The sequence below is a fragment of the Homo sapiens genome, chromosome 19, assembly GCF_000001405.40.
Source record: "Homo sapiens chromosome 19, GRCh38.p14 Primary Assembly".
Taxonomy (NCBI): Eukaryota; Metazoa; Chordata; class Mammalia; order Primates; family Hominidae; genus Homo; species Homo sapiens.
The window spans coordinates 6,267,174-6,294,292 of record NC_000019.10 but is presented as its reverse complement, the minus strand read 5'-3'; the positions used below and the strand labels follow the sequence as shown (position 1 = coordinate 6,294,292).

At 52.6% G+C, this 27,119-nt stretch overlaps 1 protein-coding gene across 6 annotated transcripts in view, besides 4 other annotated features; it reads left to right on the top strand.

The window, feature by feature from the left end:
* Positions 13,921-14,350: a silencer, noted in NCBI's record as "silent region_9947". NCBI's record gives its function as "represses an Ori minimal core promoter by ATAC-STARR-seq in GM12878 lymphoblastoid cells {active_cell/tissue: GM12878}" and the evidence as "EXISTENCE:reporter gene assay evidence [ECO:0000049][PMID:35858748]".
* Positions 14,318-27,119, top strand: part of MLLT1 (MLLT1 super elongation complex subunit) — a 69,595-nt gene continuing 56,793 nt past the window's right edge. For 2 of the 6 annotated variants that reach the window (XM_047438846.1, NM_005934.4), the window contains exons 1-2: positions 14,318-14,520; positions 23,534-23,714. In XM_047438846.1, the coding sequence (XP_047294802.1) occupies positions 14,509-14,520; positions 23,534-23,714 (193 nt within the window). In that variant the 5' untranslated portion in view covers positions 14,318-14,508. Of the gene's footprint in view, positions 14,521-21,931; positions 22,082-22,271; positions 22,365-22,529; positions 23,270-23,533; positions 23,715-27,119 lie in introns of those variants that run through there. The other 4 variants (XM_011528023.1, XM_011528021.1, XM_011528022.2 and 1 more) reach the window with 3 other exon arrangements.
* Positions 15,151-15,230: an enhancer, noted in NCBI's record as "active region_13823". NCBI's record gives its function as "activates an Ori minimal core promoter by ATAC-STARR-seq in GM12878 lymphoblastoid cells {active_cell/tissue: GM12878}" and the evidence as "EXISTENCE:reporter gene assay evidence [ECO:0000049][PMID:35858748]".
* Positions 17,199-17,699: an enhancer, noted in NCBI's record as "H3K4me1 hESC enhancer chr19:6276605-6277105 (GRCh37/hg19 assembly coordinates)". NCBI's record gives its function as "activates a minimal SCP1, AML or CMV promoter by ChIP-STARR-seq in primed H9 embryonic stem cells {active_cell/tissue: H9 hESC(primed)}" and the evidence as "EXISTENCE:reporter gene assay evidence [ECO:0000049][PMID:30033119]".
* Positions 20,598-21,197: an enhancer, noted in NCBI's record as "H3K27ac-H3K4me1 hESC enhancer chr19:6273107-6273706 (GRCh37/hg19 assembly coordinates)". NCBI's record gives its function as "activates a minimal SCP1, AML or CMV promoter by ChIP-STARR-seq in naive H9 embryonic stem cells {active_cell/tissue: H9 hESC(naive)}" and the evidence as "EXISTENCE:reporter gene assay evidence [ECO:0000049][PMID:30033119]".

Genomic DNA, 27,119 nt, shown 5'->3' with positions numbered 1-27,119 from the left:
CTGGCCGGGGGGTGGAGCCCTTCGAGAACCAGGGCTAGGAAAACATGTAGTTTCTAAGGCTTAATAAGTAGGCATAGCTGGAAGACAAAAATAGATTTTGAGAGGGATCCATCTGCCCGTAATTCCTGAAGTTCCTGAGGAAAACAGAGGTTTTTCCCAAAACGGATCAGTGGCGCCTCCTCTGTTTTTCCCAAGGAGTCCCAGGCCACCAGAAGTCATCCTGGAACCCCTCATGTGTGCATTAAGAGTGGCAAGACAAAAATGGAGAAAAATTGTTCAGTTGACCGAAAAGAAAACACCTTTTTCCAGAAAAACAAAATCTACAACGATAAACGACATAAAGGCCTTTTAAATATACCTATAGTTTGGATATCCTCCATCTTTAATTAAGCTGACTTTTAACCATCACATTTCCTTTTTTTTTTTTTTTTTTTTGAGACAGAGTCTTGCTCTGTTGCCCAGGCTGGAGTGCAGTGGCTTGATATCAGCTCACTGCAAGCTCCGCCTCATGGGTTCATGCCATTCTTTTGCCTCAGCCTCCTGAGTAGCTGGGACTACAGGTGTCCACCACCACACCTGGATAATTTTTTTTGTATTTTTAGTGGAGACGGTGTTTCACCATGTCAGCCAGAATGGTCTCGATCTTCTTACCTTGTGATCTGCCCGCCTCGGCCTCCCAAAGTGCTGGGATTACAGGTGCAAGCCATCACACCTGGCCAACCATAGCACTTCCTTTTTAAGAAGTCCTGGCCAGGCGCAGTGGCTCATGCCTATAATCCCAGCATTTTGGGAGACTGAGGCAGGTGGATCACCTGCAGTTAGGAATTCGAGACCAGTCTGGCCAAATGGTGAAACCCTGTCTCCACTAAAAATTACAAAAATTAGCCGGGCATGGTGGCACATGCCTGTAATCCCAGCTACTTGGAAGGCTGAGGCAGGAGAATTGCTGGAGCCTGGGAGACGGAGGTTGCAGTGAGCTGAGATTGCACCACTGTACTCCAGCCTGGCCAATAGAACAAGACTCTGTCTCAAAAAAAAAAAGGAAATCTTTTAAAATATGTTACTACCTGACCTTAGCCATGCCAAATGGCCAATACTTCTGACTTTTGAACTCATGGAGGGGCAGAGAATACAGTTTTTGTCATTCCTACAACCAGCTTGCACAGAGAGAGAGAAGCCAGAAGTCCAACTGCTAAAAACTCTTACCCTTTTGTCAGCATGTCAGGCTTCTGGGTTCCATTCCCCTGAGCCATGGAGCCCTATTGACCCTGGAGTCCTGTGAAGGGGAACAGCCAAAGAGAAGTTGTCCCTCCTCAAGAAATTGCCAAGCAGTTTAACGCTTGGGGAAATTAAACTCTTCCTAGTTTGCGGGATGGATCCCAGGGGAGTATCCTGTGGTACAGAGGTGTGATTACCCATCTGTGAAGAGAGAACAGAGGAGGAATAAAGGAAAAATGTTTTTTTCTCCAGAGTCTGAGGGTCAAAGGAGTTCCAGTGTCTTTTTTCTTTTCTTCTTCTTTTTTTTTTTTTTTTTGGCAGAGTCATGCTCTGTCACCCAGGCTGGAGTACTGTGGCACAATCTCAGATCACTGCAACCTCTGCCTCCTGGGTTCAGGTGATTCTCCTGCCTCAGCCTCCCAAGTAGCTGGGATTACAGGCACATGTGCCACCATGCCCAGCTAATTTTTTGTATTTTCGGTAGAGATGGGGTTTTGCCATGTTGGTCAGGCTGGTCTCAAAGTCTTGGCCTCAAGTCATCCACCCACCTTGGCCTCCCAAAGTGCTGGGATTACATGCATGAGCCACCACACCCGGCTGCGTTCCAGTAATTTAGAATGCACTTGAGAGGAGTGCAGGCTGAAAATGATTGGTTGCTTACCCATCTGGAAAGAGGGGAAAGACATCCCTTTGTTCCTCTCTTTCCAGTGAATACCTGGGGTACGTGATGGAGATTTTTTTAAAAAGGCATCTCTTTTTCCTCTTCCAACCTTATATCCTTGAGTCCCAGTGACCTTTGCAGGTGCCACTCATAGCTGCGAGTGCAACCTTCACCCATGCAGCGGGAAGGCCTAGTGGGTAGGAATATTCGCACTTACCTACATACCACCCTATCCTTCTGCTGTTGGTAACCTTTGGGTTCCCTAGACCTTATCTATGCTTCCATCCATGAAGCAGGAGGGCTAACTGGCAGGAATTAGTCATGCTCACCTGGGCTGTGCCTCTCAACTCCTGCTGTCATCTGCCTCAGGTCTAATGTCCCATTTCAGGACTTTAAAGTGAAGCTTGGGACAAAAAAGGTGACTCAGATGGGTCTATGGACCCATTAAATTAGTCCCATGTGGCCCTCGCCAAATTGCAGATAGCAACTGGAGGGGGCTGCTCCTCTACTGCCTCTCTATCATAAGCAGGTGAAGCCGTGAGGCCAGGTCCTCCTCAAACAAGGGAGAGAAAGGGAGTCCCAGAAATTGGGGACCTGACCTAATAAGGTGCCTCCCTGATACAGTTTGGCTCTGTGTCTCCACCCAAATCTCATCTTAAATTATACTCTCATAATTCCCACATGTTGTGGGAGAGACTCAGTGGGAGGTCATTGAATCATGGGGATGGTTTCCCCCATACTGTTCTCATGGTAGTGAATAAGTCTCATGAGATCTGATGGTTTCATAAAGGGTTTCTGCTTTCACTTCTTCCTCATTCTCTCTTGCTTCTGCCATGTAAGAAGTGCCTTTCTCCTTCTGCCATGATTGTGAGGTTGCAGTGAGTTGAGATTGTGCCACAGTACTCCAGCCTGGGTGACAGAGCGTGTCTCTGTCTTAAAAAATAAATAAATAAATAAATCACTGGAACGCCTTTGACCCTCAGACTCTGGAGAATCTCCTCATGATGTGGAACTGTGAGTCCGTTAAACCTATTTTCCTTCCCAGGCTTGGGTATGTCTTTATCAGCAACATGAAAACGAACTAATACACTCCCTAACGGAAACAAAAGTAACCCCACAGAGAAAAGCTCCCTGTAGTCACAAGACTATGTTGACTCCTGGCGTGGTGGGGAAGAAGACCTGAGATGCTGCTTACAGTCGTGCTAAGAGAGGAAGGGGGCCTGGGTTGGGGAGGAGAACTGAAAGGCCTGCTCCAGAGTCCAGGAGGTGGCTACCTTCCTCCCTTCAACCCAGGGCTCCTGGATGGTAATAGTGGTCTGAACCATCAGAGCTTGGGAAAGGAGCCCTAGAATCCATCTGTCCTTCTGGACCATCTGGAAGTCTGGTCCTGGACCCGGCAACCTGTGTCTCCAGGGACAGGCTGCCCCTACAATGGTTCCCACTGCAAACCAGACAGGGTTGAGGTGGCCTCCCCGCACTGCCCAGACAGTCTCTCCTGAAGTGGCCTGGCCTGCCACATTTGCAGCAGACAACGGGTGCATCTCAGGGACTATGGAGTCCGTGAAGCTTCAGGGCAGGTATTAGAGCTTTTGCCTTTTTTTCCGTATCTCCTCTCTCTTTTCTGGACTTCCTCCAAGTTCCCACAGCAAAGTCTAAGGTGACCACTCCCAGGAGGCCCTCCAAAGTACCATCTGGCCCTGCAGCCTGTTTCTGAAGCTCCCTCCTGACATCAGGGCCTGACTGTGTCATAAACTCATCCTCTAGGATCAGATGTCCCTCTCCTCAATCAGGACTTAGGTGTGTTTTACCAAGGCCTCTCTTAGCCTTTCCAGGAAGGCAGTGGGACTCACGCTTAATCCCTGTCTACCATGGATAGCTTAGTGTAATTGAGAGGCTTTGTCCTAGTCCTTCGTATGCCCTCTGGTATGCACACCTGAAAGTGTTTCCTCTTCCATTCTTTTTTTTTTTTTTGAGATGGTGTCTTGCTCTGTCGCCGAGGCTGGAGTGCAGTGGCATGATCTCGGCTCACTGCAACCTCCACCTCCCAAGTTCAAGTTATTCTCCTGCCTCAGCCTCCTGAGTAGCTGGGATTACAGGCATGTGCCACCACATCTGGCTAATTCATTTTTGTATTTTTAGTAGAGATGGGGTTTCACCATGTTGGTCAGGCTGGTCTAGAACTCCCGACCTCGTGATCTGCCCACCTCGGCCTTCCAAAGTGCTGGGATTACAGGTGTGAGCCACCGTGCCTGGCCTCCTTTTCCATTTTCTTTTTTTTTTTTTTTTTTGAGACAGAGTCTTGCTCTGTCATCAGGCTGGAGTGCAGTGGCATGATCTCAGCTCACTGCAATCTCTGCCTCCCAGGCTCAAGTGATTCCCTGCCTCAGCCTCCCAAGTAGCTGGGACTACAGGTGTGCACCACCATGCCTGGCTATTTTTTTTGTATTTTAGTAGAGATGGGGTTTCACCATGTTGGGCAAGATGGTCTTGATCTCCTGACTTCATGATCCGCCCATCTCAGCCTCCCAAAGTTCTGGGATTACAGGTGTGAGCCACCACGCCTGGCCCCATTCTTTTGTCTCATCATTGAGGTCCCATTTAGGGTTCTTCAGTGGTACTGCTATTCTTCCAATCAGATAAGTCTCATCCCCTTCCCTGGCCCTATATAAGATATAAAGCTCATCCCCAAAATTCTGTGCCACTTTCAGGGTGGCCTGCTTTTCAGTGGTGGTCAGGGTTTGATTCAAAAGTAACATGAAGCCGGGTGCAGCTCATGGCTGTAATTCCAGCACTTTGGGATACCAAGGTGGGCAGATCACTTGAGGTCAAGAGTTTGAGACCAGCCTGGCCAATATGGTAAAACCCCATGTCTACTAAAAATATAAAAATTAGCCAGTGTGGTGGTGCATGCCTGTAGTCCCAGCTACTTGGGAGGCTGCGGCAGGAGAATCACTTGAACCTGGGAGGTGGAGGTTGCAGTGAGCCAAGAGAGTGCCACTGCACTCCAGCCTGGATGACAGAGTGAGACCCCATCTCAAACAAAAACAAAAACAAGAGTAACATGACATCTTTCCAGGAGAGCTCAAATACTTGGGTTAAGTTCTGGAAACTCTCTATATACCTGTGAGGGCCATCTGAAAACTTGCCAAGATCTCCCCTTAAATTTGCCTTAAGTTCTATAGAGAAAAGGAAAACTGAACTTCAATGGGACCATATTCACCAGGCATCTGTTTTTGGGCAGTTGAGACTGGGACCTGCCTTAAACAAGGATTACTATGCCGGGGCAAGCTTGAGAGAGAACCTGGATAGGGAGGAGTTGAGGGGATTGATTCCCCTGCTGGAGGTACCTCTGGGGTATGCTTCCCTATTTCTCTGGGATTACCCCTTGCAGCTTCTCCTGAGAAGGCCATTAGGACAGCTGAATCAATCCTACAATGTTGGCAAAGGTCCAGATTACCCTGCAAGGCAAAGAAGGCCTGCATGTATGGGACCTTGGACCATTTATTTGCCCTTGTGTTTACAGAAAAGCTTCCTTCCTGAGGCCATGCTTCTGTTCTGTGCCTCAAGGTGCCTTGCACCAAGATGGCAACCAAGGAAATGACAATAACATTTTTCCCACAAAATTATGTACAGATACCAAGGCACACTTTGCTCATCTGTGCTACTCTTAACCTTCCATTTTATACTTTTGATGACTAAGCCAAATGCTCATTCTATCCAGTAATTTCTCTGTTTTGCAGCAACATTCTTAACATTTAACATTGTAGGCTGGATGCGGTGGCTCATACCTGTAATCCCAGCCCTTTGGGAGGGCGAGGCAGGTGGATGACCTGAGGTCAGGTGTTCAAGACAAGCCTGCCCAACATGGTGAAACCCCATCTCTATTAAAATACAAAAATTAGCCAGGCATGGTGGTGCATGCCTGAAATCCCAACTACTTTGGAGGCAGATGTTGCAGTGAGATAAGATCACACCACTGCACTCCAGCCTGGGCGACAGAGCAAGGCTCTGTCTCAAACACACACACACACACACACACACACACACGCGTGCGCACAGAAATTTAATGTTGTATATAAAGAAGAGATAGGAGCTGGGTGCAGTGGCTCATGCCTGTAATCTCAACACTTTGGGAGGTCAAGGTGGGTGGATCACCTAAGGTCAGGAGTCAAGATCATGCCATGCCACTGCACTCCAGCCTGGGCGACAGAGCAAGACTCCATCTCAAAAAAAAAAAAAAAAAAGAAGAGATAAGAACCTTGACAACCATGAAAGAAAGAAAGATAGGAGACTGGAGGTCCTAGTGCCAACAACACCCTAATGGGCGCTTAGGGACTTGAGTTTCAGGAGTTAGTCCAGGGGCCTTTGGATAACACTGAGGCATAGCCTCAGCCAGATACCCTCAGTTGCCCCAGGACCTCCTTCTGGTCCCATGTAACAGGTAGACCTCATGGAAGGAAACGGGATTGAAACAAACCCAACATTCTCAACACTTGAGGATGATGAGGGATTGACAGTGTCCTCCCCAGCAAGGCTATCATCCATGTTTTAAGTCCAGCATCTCTGCTAGTTAATTTTAACTGGCTAATAGAGGCCTGGTGTTTTTCTTTCATTTTAGCTATTGTTGAGTTTAGGGACTCCTAAAAAGGGACAGAAAGAGCAGATCTGCTTTTACTCACCCTTTCACTCACCCTTCTGCAGATCCTGGACGAGCCCTCAAAAATGTTGCAGGATCCTTGGGGTGTTGATTTCTGGTTGGAAACCTCTGTGGCTGGTGGCACCTTTGCCTGAGTTTTGCTCGGGCCCACTGGGCTCATTCCACCCACACGGCCTGGCAGGCTGTGCTCAGCTCACACTACTAGCCTGGATCTCACACTTGCCAAGGGCAAGCCAGGCATGGAGGGGCGAGGGGTGTGTGAGCAAGCAAGCAAGCATGAGGTCCGGCCACTGCATGCAGCCAGGCACACCAGCTGCTGCAGCAGAGCAGACAGCTCCAGGTGCTGGCAGGGGCCCTGGCTCTCTGAGAGGCTGCGGCCAGACCAGGTGCACCATAAGCAGCTTCCACAGCTGCCACCAGGGAATGCAGTGGCACTCAGAAGCTTGGAGACTATAGGAAACACTGGGGTCCAAAGAGGGAGTCACAGCCCTGGCTCAGGGAGCTCCTAGGTCCCTGAAGGGCCACAGCTCTTCTCTCCTTCTCTTCACCCACAACATGGCAAGGCGCATGTTTCAGCCCTGTGGGTTTTATAGCTCTTTCAGCCCTGCTGTTTAGCAGTTCCTGAATTCTTGTCCTGTGCCCAAGAAGAATGAGGTATGTGGACAAGTGGAGGGTGAGCAAGGTGAACAGGAGCTTTATTGAGCGACAGAGTAGCTCAGAGGAGGCCTTGGATTGGGTAGCTCCTCTCTGCAGGCAGTCCATCCTGTCATTTTCTGTGGCTCTCAGTGAAGAGGAGGCCCTGGAGTGGGTAGCTTCTCTCTGCGGGCAGGTTGTCCCATTGCTTGCCCAGCTTTCAGCAGAGGGGAGGCCCTGGAGTGGGTAGCTCCTCTCTGCAAGCAGGTTGTGCCATCATTCCCTGCAGCTCTCAGCAGAAGGAGGCCCTGGGGTGAGTTGCTTCTCTCTGCAGGCAGGTCATCCCATGTTCATCCCAGCTCTTAGCAAAGAAGAGGCCTTAGAGTGAGTTGCTCCTCTCTGCAGCTGGTAGTCCCGACGTCTCTGCAGCTCTCAGCAGAGAGGAGGCCCTGGAGTTGGTAGCTGCTCTCTGAAGCTGGTCATCCCGATATCTGCCCAGCTTTGGCTGAGCCCAGGGCTTTTATGGGCCTCAGAGGGGAAAAAATGCATGCTGATTGGTCCATGAGCAGGCCTGGAAAAGGCATCACATGTTTCCACTCCAGTCCATGGGGCTGGTAGCCCAGCCCCTAGCCTTCAGGCCCTCCCTGGCCTGAAGGTGGGGCCTCACCAGGGACCCATCCCCTTCCATCCAGGAACCTGTCTACCTCCTGCTGCTGTTGATGGTGCCCAGGCTATAGGTGCCAAGGGGCGCATGCAGGTCAGCACTGAGCTGCCCTCAGCCCCCCCTTTGGCTTCCCTCCTATGCTCGTTGGTGCCCGAAGTCCAGATGGGGCTGAGGTAGCAGGGGGCTGGTGTGTCTGTGCTGCCCCAAGTTTGTGCACACCCTGCCTGGCTGCAACAGCTCTGGGGCTCAGCCCCAACTTTGCTTTGAGATGGAGTGGGCACCAACAGCAGGGAGAAGCCAAGCAGTGGAAGCAGACATTTCTGAGCCTGCAAGGGCAGGGGGAACCTTCCCGGGCCCCTAGGAGTGCAGGGACTCCTAATCTGCAGCTGCAGTTTGGACAGCTGCAGCTGCACCTGGGAGGGTGGGGCTCCTGCCTGCCTCTGGGCCTGAGAGCCCAGTAATGCCCAGGTCTGTAGCCATGGCTTTAGTGGCTGCAGCACCACCCAGGGAGCTCCCACCCCAATGCAGAAGGGGCGGGGCTCCCACTTGTCACCAGCTTCTGCCAGATCTATGGAACATGCAGTCCTGGCCATTCCTCTGTGCTGCAGCTAGTAAGATGGTGGTGGCCAGTCCAGATGGCCAGCCACTGCCATCAGTGCAATCATAGCCCACTGCAGCCTCAAACTCCTGCGCTCAAGCAATCCTCCTGTCTCAGCCTTCTAAGTAGCTGGGACTACAGGTGCACACCACTACACCCTATTTTCTTCCTTTCTAAGGTTGAATAAGCTTCTATTGCATGGATAAACCATGTTTAGTTTATCCGCTCATGTGTCAGTAGACATTCAGTTCCTTCCTCATTATTCTTTTTTTTTCTTTTTTTTTTGAGACAGAGTCTCACTCTGTCGCCCAGGCTGAAGTGCAGTGGTGCAATCTTGGCTCACTGCAAGCTCTGCCTCCCGGGTTCATGCCATTCCCCGGCCTCAGCCTCCTGAGTAGCTGGGACTACAGGCGCCCGCCACCACACCCGGCTAATTGTTTTTTTTTTGTTTGTTTGTTTGTTTGTTTTGTATTTTTAGTAGAGACGGGGTTTCACTGTGTTAGCCCGGATGGTCTCAATCTCCTAACCTCGTGATCCGCCCTCTTCAGCCTCCCAAAGGGCTGGGATTACAGGCGTGAGCCACCACACCCGGCCCTTCCCCATTATTCTTTTCGATGTTCAAAGTATTCCACCTCAGCCAGTGGGAGCCCAGGGGATGCAGTTTTGAAAATTCCCAACAATTTAGAACCTAAGTGAACAGTAATTTCCCAACTGAATAAGGGGGAGGGGATTGAGTTCCAGAAGCTCATATTTGTAGCAAGTGTAGACTAAAGGTTCTTTCCTGCAAGCTTTCTTCAAAGACAGATGCTGGCCAGGCATGGTAACTCATGCCTGTAATCTCAGCACTTTGGGAGGCTGAGGCAGGTGGATCACTTGAGCCCAGGAATTCAAGACCAGACTCAGAAACATAACAAGACTCTGTCTCCACAAAAAAAAGAAAATACAAAAATTAGCTGAGCATGGTGGTATGAGCCTTTATTCTTGGCTACTTGGGAGACTGAGGCAGGAGGAACACTTGAGCCTGGGAGGTGGAGGTTGCAGTGAATTGAGACTGCCACTGGACTCCAGCCTGGACAACAGAGCAAAACTCTGTCTCAAAAAAAAAAAAAAGAAAAAAAAAAAAAAGATAGATGGCTACCCCTGACTCCCATTTTGTCCCTTTACCTGGGACAGTGATTCTGAAAGTTAGGTGAGCCTTGGAACCATCTGTAGGGTTGGTTAAGCCACTGCTGTCCAAACACTTAGAATTTCTGGTTCCATAAACAAGGGTGGGGGAAGACCAGAATGTGCATTTATAGCAACATACCCAAGTGATGCTCACACTGCTGCTTTGGGGACTACTTAGAGCAACTGATCTACTTACATCCAGTGATAGGATTAAAAAAAATTTTATTTTTTGGCCAGGCACGGTGGCTCACGCCTGTAATCCCAGCACTTTGGGAAGCCGAGGCAGGAGGATCACAAGGTCAGGAGTTTGAGACCAGCCTGGCCAAATGTTGACACCCTGTCTCTACCAAAAATACAAAAAAACTAGCCGGGCGTCGTGGCGAATGCCTGTAATCCCAGCTACTCAGGAGGCTGAGGCAGGAGAATGGCTTGAACCCAGGAGGCGGAGCTTGCAGTGAGCAGAGATTGTGCCACTGCACTCTAGCCTGGGCGACAGAGCGAGAGTCCGTTACGGCCCGGTGTAGTGGCTTATACCTATCATCCCAGAACTTTGGGAGGCTGAGGCAGCAGGATTGCTTGAACCCAGGAGTTTGAGACCAGCCTGGGCAAGACGGTTTTTTTGTTTTTTTTTTTTTTGAGACACAGTCTCACTCTGTTGCCCAGGCTGGAGTGCAGCGGCACAATCTGGCTCCGAGCTCACTGCAACTTCTGCCTCCCGGGTTTAAGCAATTCTTATGTCTCAGCCTCCCGAGTAGCTGGGATTACAGGCACATGCCACCACACCCAGCTAATTTTTATATTTTTAGTAGGGATGGGTTTTCACCATGTTGGCCAGGCTGGTCTCAAACTCCTGACCTCATGTGACCCGCCTGTCTTGGACTCCCAAAGTGCTGGGATTACAAGTGTGAGCCACTGCACCTGGCCATCTACAAAAAATTTTAAAAGTTAGCTGGGCGTGGTGTTTATGTGGGAAATAGGCATATCTAAATAGGTGCATGCCTGTGTTCCCAGCTACATGAGAGGCTGAGTGGGAGAACCGCTTCAGCCCAGGAGGTTAAGGCTGCAGTGAGCTGTGTTTGTACCACTGCACTCCAGCCTGGGTGACAGAGCAAGACCCTGTCTCAAAAAAAAAAAAAAAAATTATCAACATTAAATCACTGCTTATTTTCTCAGCATGATCTCCATTTTTTTTTCTTTCCAGCACCACCTGCCCTTGATTAAAAAGCATGGTGGTATTACCATGACAGCAACCTGACCTTCTTTAGAGTTTTTATCTGGACTTACTTTCATTCCAAAGTTACTCATTTTCTGGTGCTATTTGTTCTTCAGTGCAAACACTGGCCCCACTAGCTAATAAATGTTTGACTGACACTTAAGTGAGAAAACAATCTGTTTCTTTCTTTTCCCTTTTCTTTTTTTTTTTTTTTTGAGACAGAGTTTTGCTCTTGTCGCCCAGGCTGGAGTGCAGTGGCGCAATCTCGGCTCACTGCAACCTCCATCTCCTGGGTTCAAGCGATCCTCCTGCCTCAGCCTCCTGAGTAGCTGGGATTATGGGCACCCACCATCATGCCAGGCTAATTTTTGTATTATTAGTAAAGACGGGGTTTCACTACGTTGGCCAGGCTGGTCTCGAACTCCTGACCTCAGGTGATCCTCCCGCCTCAATTTTTTCTTCGTTTTTAAACAATTTTATCACTTTTTGCCCATGACACAGCTCACAGGAGATCCCAACAACGTGTGCCCCAACAATCTGATTTTTTAAAGAGGGGTTATTTATTTTTAATCCAACTTTTAAGTTCAGGGATACATGTGCAGGATATGCAGGTTTGTTACATAGGTAAACGTGTGCCATGGCAGTTTGCTGCACAGATCATCCCATCACCTAGGTATTAAGCCCGGCCTTTGTTAGCTGTTCTTCCTGATGCTGTCCCTCCCCCCACCACACCCCCTGACAGGCCCCAGTGTGTTTTGTTCCCCACTATGTTACCATGTGTTCTCATCATTAAGCTCCCACTTATACATGAGAACATGTGGTGTTGGATTTTCTGTTCCTGCGTTAGTTTGCTGAGGATGACGGCTTCTAACTCCATCCATGTCCCTGCAAAGGACATGATCTGATTCCTTTTTATGGCTGCATAGTATTCCATGGTGTATATATACCATATTTTCTTTATCCAGTCTATAACTGATGGGCATTTAGGTTGATTTCACGTCTTTGCTATTGTCAATAATGCTGCCGTGAACATACGCGTGCATGTGTCTTTATAATAAAATTATTTATATTCCTCTGGGTATATACCCAGTAATGGGATTGCTGGGTTGAACATTATTCATGCCTCTAGGTCTTTAAGGAATCGTCACACTGTCTTCCACAGTGGTCGAACTAATTTATACTCCCATCAACAGTGTAAAAGTGCTCCTTTTTCTCTGCAACCTTGACAACATCTGTTGTTTTTTGACTTTTTAATAATCGCCATTCCGACTGGTGTCAGATGGTATCTCATTGTGGTTTTGATTTGCATTTCTCTAATGATCAGTGATGTTGAGCGTTTTTCATATGCTTATTGGCCGCATGTATGTCTTCTTTTGAGAAGTGTCTGTTCATGTCCTTTGCCCACTTTTTAATGGGGTGGTTTGTTTCTTTCTTGTAAATGACAACCCGATTTTTAATGACAAGAAGGAATTAAAATAACTGCACAAGGATCCCCAAATCACAGGCAGAAGTCCTAATGTCCAAGAGACAAGTGGCTTATAAAGTCCTGAAAAAATGGGGTTATGCCTATTTCCCACATAAACACAGTTTACAGGTCATTGTAAAATTTTGTGATCCTCAATAAATCAAAACAGTTTTTTGAGAGATGGGTATTATTTAAAATTTTGTGGATAACATGAGATTCTCTCTTTAAAAATTATATCTTTGTTCAGGGCGCAGTGGCTCATGCCTATAGTCCTAGCACTTTGGGAGGCCATGGCAGGAGGATTGCCTGAGGCCAGGAGTTGGAGACCAGCTTGGGCAACATAGTGAGATCGCTCTTTCTATAAATAAATAAATAACCAAACTAGCCGGGCGTGGTGACATGAGCCTGCAGTCAGTCCTAGTTGCTTGAGAGGCTGAGGTGGGAGAATTGTTTGAACCCAGGAGGTCTAGGTTACAGTGCGCCACGATTGTGCCACTGCACTCCAGCAGAGACCTCATCTCAAAAAAAAAATCTTTATTGACAAATAATAACTGTATATATGTATGGGGTACACCTTGATGCTTTGGTACATGTATACATTATGGAATAAACAAATCAGGCTAATTGACATATCCATCACCACATATACTTATCAATTATTTATGGTGAGAACATTCAAAATCCACTTTTAGCATTTTTTTTCTTTTTTTTCTCTTTTTTGAGACAGAGTCTTGCTCTGTCACTCAGGCTGGAGTGCAGTGGCATGATCTCATCTCACTGCAACCTCTGCCTCCCTGGTTCAGGCGATTCTCCTGCCTCAGCCTCCTGAGTAGCTAGAATTACAGGCACACACCACCACGCCCGGCTAATTTTTGTATTTTTTTAGTAGAGATGGGATTTCACCATGTTGGCCAGGCTGGTCTTGAACTTCTGACCTCAGGTGATCCGCCCCCCTCAGCCTCCCAAAGTGTTGGGATTACAGGCGTGAGCCACCGCATCTGGCCGCTTTTAGCAATTTTAAAATATAAAATTACATTATTATGTAGTCACCTTGCTGTGTGATGGATCGCCAGAACTTATTCTTCGTGTCTAACTGAAAACATGTGACTCTCTTGGGTCATTTGAATGTAGCACGATTTCAAATTTGTATCATTCAAATTAGCATGAAGAATCACACAGTACTGTTCTTCAACCTATTTCACAGATGCACAAACTGAGACTCAGGGAAAGGTGAAGAAGGGGCTGACCAGGTTTGCCAAGGATTATGCAAGATTAGAAAATTAATCTCCACTTTGGGAGGTTGAGGCAGGCGGATCACTTGAGGTCAGGAGTTCGAGACCAGCCTGGCCAACATGGCAAAACCCCGTCTCTACTAAAAATACAAAAATTAGCTGGGCATAATGGCGAGCTCCTGTAATCCCAGCTACTCGGGAGGCTGAGGCAGTAGAATCTCTTGAACCTGGGAGGTGGAGGTTGCAGTGAGCTGAGATCGTGCTAGTACACTCTAGCCTAGGCCACAGAGCGAGACGTGTCTCATAAAAAAAAAAAAGAAAAGAAAATTAATCTCCAGTTCCAGAGCCCAGGGCTCGTTCCATTACATAGCAGCATCATGAGGTCAGGAAACAAAAGTGTCCCTACCGGGGGGGCTGGGGGATCCCTCCACAGGGCTCGAACCCGTAACCTCAGTTCCAGCCCCCGGGACGCTCCCGCCCTGGAGGCTCCAGCCACGAGGCAGCGCCCCCTGCGGGCCGCAGCGCGCAGGCGCCGCGCGCCCGTCCCGCCCCCGCCCCCCTCCACGTGCGGCGCACACCTCGCGCTCCCCTCCGCCAGGCTCGCCTCGCGCCTCCCTCCCTCCCTCCTCCCGCCCCTCCGGTCCCGGCCTCCCATTGGCTGCGGGCTTCGTCCCTCCGGCCGCAGCCCGGCAGGCCCCCGCCAGGCAGGAAGTCCCGCGCCACAAGCGGCCGTCCGCGCCGTCGATTGGCCCAGGTGGCTGTCAGTCGATGCGGCGGGCCCTAGTCGGCGGCGGGGGCCCGTGATCGGTGCGCGACCCGGGCTGGCGGTGGTTTCCGGTTCCGCGGGGCTGGCGGGCGAGCGGGCGGCCGGGATCGGCGGCGGCGGCGGCGGCGGCGGCGCTTGACAGACAATGAGGGCGGCGGGGCGGCGTTGAGCGGCGGCGGCGGCGGCGGCGGCGGCGAGCGACGCGGGGCCCGGGGGCGGGGCGGGGCGCCAGCCATGGACAATCAGGTGAGGAGCGGCCGCGCCGCCCCTGCGCAGCCCGCCCGGCCCCCTCCCGCCCGCCGGCCCGCCCGGCCCTCCCCGGTCCCGGCCTCCCCGCTCCGCGCCCGCCCGCCCGCTTTGTGCGCGCCCGCCGCTCCTCGGGCCTTTATGTGGGGCGGGGGCGCCCCTCCCCCATCCGCGACCCCGGCCAGGGCGCCTCGGACACCCTTCGGGACCCGGGCCGGGCCCGGAGCCCCTTGGGACGCCCCTGGTGACCCCCCAGCCTGGCTCGGAGACCCCCGGGAGACCCCTCGGAACGCCAGTCCGACCTGCATCCACCTGGGACGCCCCTGGGGACCCCAGCCCGGCTTAGGGACCTCAAGACAGCTCTCGGGACTTCAGCCTGGCCCAGAGCTCCTTCCAGGCACTTCCTGGGATCTGGGCCCTGTTCAGACCCCTCCCGGGGCCCCTCGGATCTGCCCAGTAGACCTTTCCGTCTCTAGGTCCAGGGCCAGTCACTGTCTCCTTTCCTGTCTGGACCCTTGTCCCCGAGTCGCCTCAAACTCCCAGAGTCCCCAACCTGCTGTCTGTCTTCCCTTCAACCTCAGCTCAGATATGAGGCGTCCCCGGCCCCCTGGGACCCTGCTCTGCGGCGTCTCTCTTCCTTGAACCCCGGCCCAGCCTAAGCTTTATCTCCACCCATCCCCTACCTGGACCTGAGCCTTCTCTCCCGTCTGATCCTGCCCCGGCTGCAGCCAGGGCATCCCTTTCTCTCCCAACCCCAGCCCTGGCCTGAGCTCCTCTGACTCCCTAGGACCCTGGCCTTCGGTCTTCTGCTGCAGGGACTCAGGCCTGTTTGGAGTGTCCCCTCTCTTTGTACTTGCTTTTTCAGACTTCTTTCTTTGACCCACCCTGCCGCCTCAGCCCCCTTCTAGTTTCAGGCCCTGGTCACTCTCCCTCGGACCCGGCGGGGCTGTCTCTTTCACCTTCAGACCCTCTGCTCTGAGACCAGGACCAGGAGCAGTTTCTTCTCTGACCTGGATTCCCCAGACCTTTGAGTCACTGATGGCCTGCTGTTCCCCTCAGCTTGGGCCCTCTCCGCCCCTGGGATCCTGATTTAGGCTTCCCCACACTTGACCCCAGTCCAGATCTCCCTCCCAGGCTGGTTGGTCACGTCACAGTCCTGCAGTCTCCTGTACAACCTTTGCCTTCAGGATCTCCCACTTCATCTAACGCCCATCAGCCTGATGAGTCCTGATGTCTCTTTCAGCCACTACCCTCTCCCTCCTTCCACCTCATTTTCTGTTTTTTTCCCCCAGGATCTTAGAGCCTCAGTTGAAACCCAGGGTGGGTGGGTGGGTTCCCCAACCTCCCTAAACGCTCTGGACGGCCCCTCCCCATTGGTCTGTGTTGGTTCTCATAAACACGAGGCCTTCCTGCACCCTGGCACCCCCTTTACCCAACTCTGCGCTGCCTCTTCTCCAATACCCAAGCCCCTACCCCTCTTCCTCAAGCCCAGAAGCATTGCTGGCCCCCAACATGGGATCATTTCTTCCTCCTCCTCTGCTGCCCTGGCTTTCAGGGGCACCAGGCCAGGAAAGGTGTTGTGGGGCTGTGGGGGTGGCAGCCAAAATCTCCGCCGTTAGAGAGGGCAGGTTGGGGCGTCCCTGGCTGCTGGCGCCACTGAAGTGGCACTGTCTGTGTGGTTTCATGGGTGGGGGGCAAGAATCCTCCCTCCTGCCCATCTCGGCGCCTGTGGCACAGGGTCATGGAGACAGGTGTCTCATGCTTCTGGCACCCAGTTCCCATGGCTTCCCATCTGGTTTGGGTGTTGCTGCCTTCTTCTTAAGAGGTAAGGAAGAGTTTGCAGCAGTTGATTGGTGGATTTCCACGGCGTGGTGTGAGTTGATTTCCGTTGAAGGGACAGAGCTTGTTGCTTCCAATCTGTATTGAGTTAAAAACCCAAATGAAATATACCTTTAGTGTCCACTTTCAATGAAGCCCACCTCCAGGCAAGTCCCGCTGGGCACACAGAGGCATAGGGTATGGCCCCTTTCCTCCTTCCTTAGTCCCTGGGGGAGATGTCCTAGGCCGAAGCGTGTCTGTTCCCCTTGTGATGTGTGGAACCCTGGAGGTCTGGGTGGCTGTCACTTATGTAAGTGGGATGGTGGAAATGGGTGGCATTCCTGGTCTGCGACAGAGGGAGATAAAGGTCTCACTCAGGTGGACAGGTGTGGGAGAGAGCTGGCTTTGCACTGCCCGGTACCACAGTCACCAGCATCTGTGGCTGATTTACATTTAAACTAACTCGAATGACAACTTCAGTTCCTCCATCGCACCAGCCACATTTTAAGCACTCAGTAACCACCATTACTGAGCTACTGAGCTACTGACCACCCTGTCGGGCAATGCAGATGCATTTCCATCATCGCAGAAAGTTCCGTCGATGGTGATGGTCTCCCTCCTTGCAGAAGTGTTTGCAAGGGAAGCTGCTCCTGGAGGGAAGTGTGTTTGGACCCAAAGTCTGATTCTAGCTTCCCCAGCAAAGCTTTCATGCAAATTTGAGAGAGGCCCAAGGGTTCTGTCCCTTCCTCACAGAGCCGGAGGCCCCTGGGGAAACAGGAGAGAATGGTATCTTTTACTCAAGTAGGTGAGTTGGTGGTCAGTGTCCCTGCGGGACTCTTGGCACAGGGAAAATGCTTTGAATCGAGCAGAACCCGGGCTTCCGCTCCCACTAGCCCCCCAGATGCCACAAAATGTTAGTGCCTCATTATAGTGGGAAACAGCACAGCTTTCCGCCCAGTCGCTGGCTTTGGGAGGCTTTGATTCTCTTTTTGCCTTCCTCTTTTACTCTCTAGGACTTTCAGACCCCCCTAAGAAGCAGGATTTCCCACTGTGCTCTGGGCTCCCAGCTTCTCAGCATTGACATCTTTTCCTTATGGCCAGGAAAATGCCTTTCTGGTTCTCTTTGCCCCAACCGTAACCCGCATGTTTGATTCCCCCTCCGCCCCAAGTCTGTGCTGGTGTTGTCTGTGGTATTTGTATTTTTTTTGGCAGGGGGATGAGCGAGTTCCCTGCTCACTTAAGGGTTATGTCTGGAAGGAGTGTGGTTTGTTTCCTGGGCTGGGGCCGGGGGGAGGGGACTGGGACGTGACAAGGATAAGGCTGAGCAGATGCCGAAAAGAGATTGGGAAAGGGCCTGAGAGCAGGTCACGGGGACTGGGGCTGCCTAGGGAGCTGGGAGGTGGTGTCAGCATCTGGGCGGTCACGTTCTTCAAAAGGACCAGGGAGCACCCCCACGCTCGAATTGCTGCTTGCTGGTCCTGCAGATGCTCTCCTAGGTTTGGGTTTGAGAGCAGCTGCCTCACAACGATGTTCTTCAGCGGGGAAAGTTTGTTTCTGATGCCAGGGGCCCATTTCACAGATGTGGAAATGCAGGCTCAGAAGTCCTACCAGCAGGCAAGGGTGGGTAGACTCTTCCTCCTGCAACTCGGCTGCTCCCCAAACCTGCCCGAAAAGCTCCGAATTACCCAGGTTGCTGGCTGAGGTGTGACAGATTCCTCACCTGCTCCCAGCTCTGAAGCTACTCCCTGGAAAGCTGACCTGCCAGTTTTTTTGTCCTAAAGTGATTATATTGTGAAGCAGTTGAGGGCAGGGACCAGAGTCCCATTTCCCTTTATGCCCGTTGTGGTTCGTAATGGGAGGTTTTGCACTCAGCTTTGCCAGCTGCTGGTTAAATACAAGTAACTAGGAATCAGTCCCTTTGCAGCCAGGCCCACCTGGTCTGGTGACAGATGCCTGTATTGGGGTTGTGCACATTCAAAAAGTCCACCAAGGCTCCTCCCCCTCCCCCCTGGAGAACGTGGGAGATAGCCGGTACACTGTCTACACGTCTGTGGGCCCCTGGTTCGTAAATACTCTGTCCCAGGCCTCCCCTGACAATGTGGTCAGAGAGTCAGTCTTACCAGGAATCTGCAGACCCTATAAAGGGGAACTTGCATTTCCAGGTGGTCTACACACCACTCTTAGAGAGTTTCCAGAGAGAAATTCATTGAGTGCCTTCTCATCGCTTTGTCATTGTGCCTTGGGTCAGAGGGACGAGGACAGATGGAGCCAGAAGAGGGGTGGAGGTGCTGGCCCCTAGCCCCAGTGTGCCAGCAGTCAGGGGACCAGGACCCGGTGTACCTGTTAGTGAGAGGCCCCTGCCTTCTGGGTGGGCAGCTCTCCGCTTCAGAGGACTGTCACAGAGGGGCACCTGTCTTTCCCCATCTCTTACATTCTAATTCAGTGGTTACCACTGAGGGCCCCGACTGGGCTTGGCGGGAGAAGATTCCGCAGGGGGTTTTATTGGGTCTCATGTTGCCGTCGCTCCATGGGATCGCCCAAGCCTCGTCACCTCTTCCTGTTTGTGCATGTGTGGCTCACACACGTGCACGTGTTCAGCCCAGGAGGACCTCAAAATCAATTTAGGCTGAAGGGGGAAACGACTCCTCAGTGTTCTCCTCTCCTGGGATGGGAGGGGATCGTTGCCTCCGAGGGAATTAGATGCAGTAGCCGAACTCCAGGTGTAATTCCACCACTGGGCGAAGTCCAAGTTCCCAGAGGAAGGGCATCTATTGAGAATTCCCACCAGAAGACCAGGGGAAATCTTCAGATGAACTGGTTGTTGAAGACCTGCCTTCAGGGCTTGCAGGAAGTGGGGTACATTGGCTGAAGGAATTGTGTGAAGCTGTTGGAACAAGGCTGGCTCGCGGCTCTTTGCCAGGCGGCGGCCGCTGTAGCCCACACCTGGGGAGAACCGCACGCTGCGTTGAGAAAGCCCCGGGGAAGCTGCCCTCGAGAGGCTGCCTGGTTTGCCTGATTTGGGATTTTGGCCCTTTGGTTCCAAGTGCCCTCTGCCAGCTGGCCTGGAGAGAGGGCAGTGTCCCAGCTGAGGCCCTCTGCCCAAGCCTAACTGTCCCCAGATGGCCCTTGGAGCGCTCGTGCCCATCCCTCCGTCCGCTGTCTTTCAGATGGTTTCCCAGAAGTGAGACGGACAGCTCTTTCCGGGACAGTCCTGGAAGGTTCCCCTTTATCCTGGGCTTTTGTTGGGGAGTGGGTGTCAGGGTGGTCCCAGAGGTGCAGGGAAGTGGAAATCCCTGAGACCACAGCCCCCCGGCTCATTTCCAGCCGTCTATTCCAGAGGTTCCAAAAAAGTGGCCTCCCAGCAGCAGGCATTCCTGGTGCCTTGAAGGAACTTGCTGGGATAAAGTTGGGGGAGAGCCACTGACCAATCAGATTATTCACTCTAAGACATTCTGGAGAGCCTGTCACTTAACCTCTGCAGCCAGGCACCCTTCCTAGAGAGACAGCTAATTGATTAGCTTCAATTCTTTGGTCCTAATGGCCAAGGAAAGAGTCCAGGTGGTGTGGGGGAAGGGGGGTGGTTACCCTTGGCTATGGAATTGGCTTAGCTGTGCTAATAAATTATCATGACCTGACAAGTCAAACGCGTTGGCCGGGGCTCCACTTCTTGCCTCCCGTTGACGTGGCTTGAGCGTCTTACTGAATCTGTGATTCCTTTTTTACTACAACAGCAGAGACTCTGTTATTCCACCCTTCCGGGGAGTGCCCCCCTCAGCGCTCCACAGTCCCCTGGGTGCAGCAGGCCGGGCACCCGAACTTCGCATCTGTTGGCCAAGTCTGGGGTGTGTCCTTAACAGTGGGTGTTGAGGCTCAAGTTGGCGCCAGCCCCCAGGGCATCAGTGTCGCCTGGGCAGCACTTTGGGCCCGGCCTGCCGGCTGCAAAGATTACCCATCGCTGCCTCGGAACCTTCCTGTTTACTTTGGCCACTGCGGTGGAGTTCTGGTGCTTCCATCCTCCCCCTCTCCAGTGGAACCGCGGTCTTTCACTCTTTCACAATAACTGCTCTGCCGCCTGCGTGCCCTGGGTAGGAACTCCCTGTCATCAGAAATGCCGGGAAGTCGGCCGAGGTCTGAGTGGCCGGGTCAGTGAATAAGCGATTCCGAGGAGACACTGTCATTGTGTGGGAGTCAGCTCCACAGAAGCAGGGGTCGTTCTCCCGCATCCTGGTGCTGTTCCCATGATGTATATGTACATTTAGTTTTCACCTGTAATGCTCCCAGCGGGACAGGGGTTGCCTTCCTGTTTTCTAGCGAAAAAGGCAGAGGCGCAGGCGTGTAAGCATAGAGGGTGGTCATGGCCGCTCGGGGCTAATGTCAGTGTTGTTTTGGGTTTGTTGGAATGCGGTGGTGTTCAGGCAGACACTCGTGCTTGGCCTGAGTATTGCCATGCCGGTGCTCAGCCCTCACCTCGTGTGTTTGGTGGGGGTACTTTTACCTGAGATCCTCATGAATCCGCAGCGCCGGGGGTTTATGAGTGCGCCTGATCTTCCGTCCATCCCCACTTTCTTCCCACACTGGGGTCGTGAATGTCCCTGCTGCCCGGATCTTGGGGTTACCTGAATGTCCTCCACCCTCGGGTCCTGTCAGTTCTGTGGCTTTGGGCTGTGTTCACCCCTTTTTCCAGCCACTCCTTCTGGTTGCCTCCTCATGGGCTGGGGTTGCTGTTAGTTTGCCATTCGCCCTTTTCTGCCTGCACCCCAGGCCTTACACAGAGGGCCGGGGGCTTTTGACTCCGAGACCGTTTCCCATATCTGTCAGCCACTTATGACGACGGGTTATTTCTTTTGTCTCCGGCCTGATCCCAGGCACCCCCTGCAGTGTGCCTGGTCCCTAGGGAGTCCCTGCCCTCTTTTCCCAGGGAACTCCAGAGGGACAGTCGTCCTGAGCCAAGGGAATCCCCTCTGCCCCCTTTCCTTTTAAAAATTAATTTTTAGTTGACAAATAAAAATTGTACATCTGTATCATGTACATGTTTCAGTTTACTTTTTAAGTTGCCAAATAGAAATTGCACGCCTCCGCCTCATTTCTTATACCTGGCTTGCTGTGCGCACAGACCCTCAGCCTCTCTGGCCAGTTCTTCCACATGCTGGAACTGGCCTGTCCTTATCTGCCACCATGGCCCTGCCGTCTCCAAAAGCAGCATTTAGAACTCCCTGACCTGAGAGGCTCTCTGGTTTAATTAATCCAGCATCGTCCAGGCCTCCTGTCCCGTGGTTTCAAGATAGAGGCTAAGAGGACGAACAAGATGTAGTCCCTGCTCTCAGAGAGTTCACAGGGGCCCTGGGGGCTGCGTCAGCAACCCAGGAGCGGGGGATGGGATGAAGGGGCTCCCGTGGAGCTGTCCACAGGCTTCTGTGGGGACTCAAGGTTGGTCTCCAGCGTGGCTACCAGAAAGGGCCCTGGACAGGGCAGCGTGTGAGCCAGGACTTGAGATGAGTAGGGTTTTGAAACGAGCTTAGGGCACCCAGGCTGCGGCACTAGAAGAGATGAAGAGAGATAGGGTGGCTGTTCCTGGTGTGTCTGGGGCTGGCTGTAGGATTGAGCTGGAATGTGCGCGTTTCCTGCATTTCCTCAGTTCTGGGACTCTGAGATACCAGGACAGCGCCACCAACTCAGGAGCAGCTTCTGTGTCTGTGTGTGCACGTGTGCGCCTGTGTGCAGGCTGGACTCTGACTTCAAAAGGGTTAGGACATGAAAAGAGACGAGCGTCTCAGACTTGAGGAAATACACGCGTGGAAGACGTGCGCGGGGCTCGGGCTTCCTTCTGAGGGAGTGACAAGCCGTGGAAAGCTTTAACATGGCGGGCGGGGGTGGGGGCGATAGGATCTGCCTGCCCCAGCGGCTCCATCGCGTGACAACTGAGAGCTCAGAGGGGGACGGAGAGGGAGGGAAGCCGGCCAGGCGCCGGGGCACTCAGCCAGGTGGCGGGGTCTGAACGGGGCCTCGAAATGCCAAAGAAGAGACAGGTACTGGAGGGATTGCAGCCACTGGGACACACCTGGCCAGTTGCCGAGCGATGGCGTGGAAAGGCGCAGATGGGAGCTGTCTGGTCTGGGGCCCGGGAGGGCGGCTCTGTCAGGGGAGGGTGTGGGACTCAGGCCATGGTCTGGCTGGCTCCCGGCTATCTCAGCACTTAGAAGCAAGTGTGCGCTTGGCTGCTGCTTTATTTTGTAACATTCTTGTATTTGATAGCGGGTGTCAGGGCCGTATCTGTGAAAAGTCTGGGGAGGTTTTTACAAAGCAGGGTGGATATTTACTGTAGGTTCCCTGTTGGTGGTTTTGGCCAACCTAGGTATGAAGAGTGCTTTGAAGGCATGCAACTTTGTGTTCAGTGGCATGGAACTGGCCTGAGCTGCCTTGTATTTCAGAGCAAAGTGTCAGACACGACATGTGCTCAGCGGAGGGAGCTGGGCTGCCCAGGCCACGGGTCCACCTGGGACCGGTCACCAGGGGGCCGCAGGCTGGCCTCTGCCTTCTTCTTGGGAACCTCCCATTCTGCTTTTGAAACTGAAAGCCAGTGTTGTAGCTGATGACTTAGGGAAAGGAGAGGGGCCTCCGGGAGGCGCTGTGATGCGTGCTTGGGAATGAAAATGCTGGAGTCAACAAGCTTAGGTGGCAGAGACACCGACAGCCATCAGCAAGATGACTTTTGATAGTGAAAGTGCTCGGAAGAGCATCCTCTATGATAGAGTGATGGGAGCGGTGGTGGATGCTTTTGGATCGGTGGTCAGGGGAGGCTTCCCTGCAGAGGGACAGTCAAGCTGAGAGCCCAGTGACAAGAGGCGCCAGTGTGGGAAGTCTCAGGAGCAGAGGATCCTAGGCCAGTGTGGTGGCCCCGAGGCAGGAGTGAGCTGGGCTGAGCTGGGGACCGGTGAGGAGGCTGTGCGGGTGGAATTGAGGATGAGGCGGTGGATGAGAGGAGACACGGGGTCTGTGTGGGAGTACGGAGGGGAGAAGGCACGGGACGTCTGCGGCAAGGTGCTGGCGCGATAGGAAGCCGTCTGTGTGCTGCTCACTGGGTTGAGAGCGTATTGCACTGCTGGGGGTCTTTATCGAAAGTTCTCTGTGGGTAAGGGGACAGTCCCCTGCTTGGAGGCGTGTGCTGACTTCATCTCCCCACCTCTCTCTCCTCCAGTGCACCGTCCAGGTGAGGTTAGAGCTGGGGCATCGCGCCCAACTGCGCAAGAAGCCCACCACGGAGGGGTTCACTCACGACTGGATGGTGTTTGTCCGCGGCCCCGAGCAATGTGACATCCAGCACTTCGTGGAGAAGGTGGTCTTCTGGCTGCACGACAGCTTCCCCAAGCCCAGACGCGGTGAGTGGCCTCAAGCCCTGAGTGCCCACAGCACGGACCCATCTGTCTTCACTCCTCCCAAGGCCAGGCTCCACCCCTCCCTCAGGAGCAGCAGGACCCCTCCAACCATGAGGTTCCAGCTTGCGTCCCTCGGCGTGGGGGCACTGGAGCCGTGTCACCTCCAGCTGTTGAGTTAGTCGTAGGAAGAACCGAAGGAGGTGGTGGCGGTCTGTTGTGTCGTGATTTAGACCCGGGCTCTGGGAAGCAGCCAGGGAGCACAGCCAGGTTGGCATGGGTGGGACAGGTGAAGTCAGCCGGCTGGTGAGTGATCAGGAAGTTGCCGACCGGGCCTATGTTTGTTTGTGTGCCATGTGAAGAATTCCCAATATTTGGGGCAGAAAGAATGCCGGAGCTCATGTCACCACTGTCTTTTCCGTGTCTTCCCTCTCCCTTCAAGCCTCAGGCCGTCATTGATTCAGCACGAGTGCCTCAGTCGTGTATTCTGTCAGCGTCTCCACCTGTGGCGTGGGGGCCCTGGCCTTCCTGGAGGGTGCAGTGTGACGGGGCACAGGCAGGAAGTCACCCAGTTTATGATCAGGGATGCCCTCCTGGGGAAGTGAGCCCTAGGGAAAGGCTGTGGTGGGGAATCGGAGAGTGAGGTGGTGGTCTGGTGAGCGCCATCAGGGCTGGGGCCGCGTCTACTTTTCTTACCGCTGAGTCGCCAGTGTGAAGCCCGGAGCCCGGCACATCACAGGGGTTCGATAAATGCTTCTTGGGTGATGTCTTGATAAAGGAATGAGGGACTTTCTGTAGGAAGCACTTCAGGGTGGGAAGAGCCCTGGCTGGGCTGGTGACCCCTCTACCCTGCAATACGGGGGTCCCGGGAGCTCCAGGGGCCACGGGAGGTGAGCCGTGCACAAGCGTGGGTGTGCTTAGGTTGAAGCAAGAGCTTCCCGGGACCCGGGACCCAGGACCCTGGCCCTGAGCCTGTAAGTGGTTTGCAGCCTAGTGGGGAAGTGATGGGCGTTGACAGCAGTAGAGGCTTGTCATTCTGAAGGGATGCCCACCTGCGATTCCCTCAGCCTGCGGCTTCTCTTTCCCTCTGCATTTCTCCTTTCCTGAGTCTTCACCTTTTCCCCTTTTCCTTCCTCCCTCTCTAAGCCTCTTAGAGGATGGCCGCGGAGGCTCCTGACAGCGGCAGATGTTTATAAACCGCTTCCTAATCGTGGGGACACATGCCATCTATCGAGCACTTCCTGGCCAGCGCTTCGTGCGCAGGATCGCGTTTTCTTCTCGCCACAGCCCTCTTCTGCAGACGGGGAGACGGGTCCAGGGGGCAGGCCGCTACCTGTGCTTAGAGCAGGGTGGGCAGGCTGGCCTGTGGGCTGGGTCTGGCCACTGCCAGTGCAGCCTGTTTTTATTGGTGCACGGCCATGCCCGCCCGCATAGGTGTTGCCTGTGGCTGCTTTTGTGCCACGTTGGCAGAGCAGGAGCCTGGCTGCCCCTCCTGCACCAGGCCCTCTTTCCTTTCTCTGGTGGCATCCACTCCACTTCTTCACCAACCCCCTCACCCCTCCCCTTTTCTCTGTCCCTGGAGCACAGGGATGGGCCCCGGACGCTGATTTCCATCCACTTTGAGGCTGTTGATTTCACCTTTGTTCCCCACCACGTTGACATGGCACCTTCTCCAAGTACCTGGAAGGTGGGGTAGTGAGTGGGGCTCACTCTTAAGGGTTAGTTTTTAGTTTTTTGTTTTGTTTTGTTTTTTGTTTGTCGTGTTGCCCAGGCTTGTCTTGAGCTCCTGGCAGGCATGTGCCACCATGCCAGGCTTCAGTGTCAGTTTGCAGGCGGCCTTTAAATTAGTAGCTGAGCCCTGTTTGTTGCTGTCTGTCTGTGGGGCCTGGAGGCAGATAGCGGCCCCATCAAATGTATCAGAAAGTAAATTTCCAGCTCACACTCTGTGGCATTGAATAAAACTTTAGAGAGGGAGTGAACCTCTTAGAGCACTCCAGCCTCTGGATTGATACTTGAGGTACTTAAAAAGTATCTTTTACTTCCGCCCCAGCTTACATTATCACAAATCAAATAGGGTAGAAACATGTAAGGTACAAAGTTGCTGTTCCTGGCCTCCTTAGTCCTCCCTCCCCGGGGCTGTCTTCCTAGCCCTCTCTGGACTCCTCTTAATACCAGCTCATTTGCTTCTTATTTCTTGATTTTTTAAATGTAGACAATACTTACTGATTTACCAGCTTGAAGGGTTAGAATTTATCCCAAAGTACCCCTTTTATCCACTGTCTTCTCTAAGTTTTTAATAGTCCAGTGACTCGCTTTTGCGTTGGTTGTCTTTGTGACTTTGAATGATGATGTGAGCCTGTTTACCTTTGGGATCCTTCACAGAAGAGTCCCACGTCACCCTTTTTAGGGAGTCCTCTGGCTGCCTGGGCTCAATCGCGGTTTCGTTGCCCAATACACCCACACAGCCATATGCTTCTTAGCCTTTTTGTTTTCTGCTTTGGTTTTCTCCTTAGCACCATCTTAACATCTCGTACATATGACTTCTTCATCTTGTCCATCCCTCTCCCCACCCCAAGTCAGAGGTTTCTGTCAGTTTTGTTTGCTGCTACATGTTCGGTGCCTGCAGGGATACAGTAGGTGCTTACTAAGTGTTTGATGACTGGATGGACCCTTGCACCTGGTCAGCTTTTGTTAGTGTTTTCTGACTCTCCACTGAGGAGGGCAAGGCCACCAGTACCCTGTCTCTTTTTGACCCTGCTGCACCCCTCTTTTTGAGGCTACAATGGACGTTGTTAAGCTTATTGACGAAGACCAAGACCTTCGCTCCCCGATTATAGATTGACTGTAAGAGTTGGGAACTAGCAGTAGGCGGCGTTGACATGTTTGACGCTGTCACCATCAGGCTGGTTGGGACGGCAGGACTTCATTCAGCTTCTGTTTCCCATGTCCTGAACTCTGGGCCACTCCAGAGAGAAGGCTCAAAGTCAGGTCTGTGTGAAACGGGTTCTTTTTGGTCATTTTTGGTTAAAATTTGGCCCTATTTTAGCTTGCTTCACATTTGGTCTGTGGCTTTTGGAATACCCCCTTACTTCTCCTTTTTGCATTGTGTCTTTAGCATACCTTCATTTTCCCCCCATTCTCTCAGTCATTTCATTTATTCTGTGGAATTTTTTTTTTTTTTTAATTTTTTGGCCGGGTGCGGTGGTTCATGCCAGCACTTTGGGAGGCCGAGACGGGTGGATCACCTGAGGTCAAGAATTCAAGACCAGCCTGGCCAATATGCTGAAACTCGGTCTCTACTAAAAATACAAAAAAATTAGCCGGCTGTGGTGGCGCATGCCTTTAGTCCCAGCTACTCGGGAAGCTGAGGCAGGAGAATCGCTTGAACCCAGGATGCAGAGGTTGCAGTGA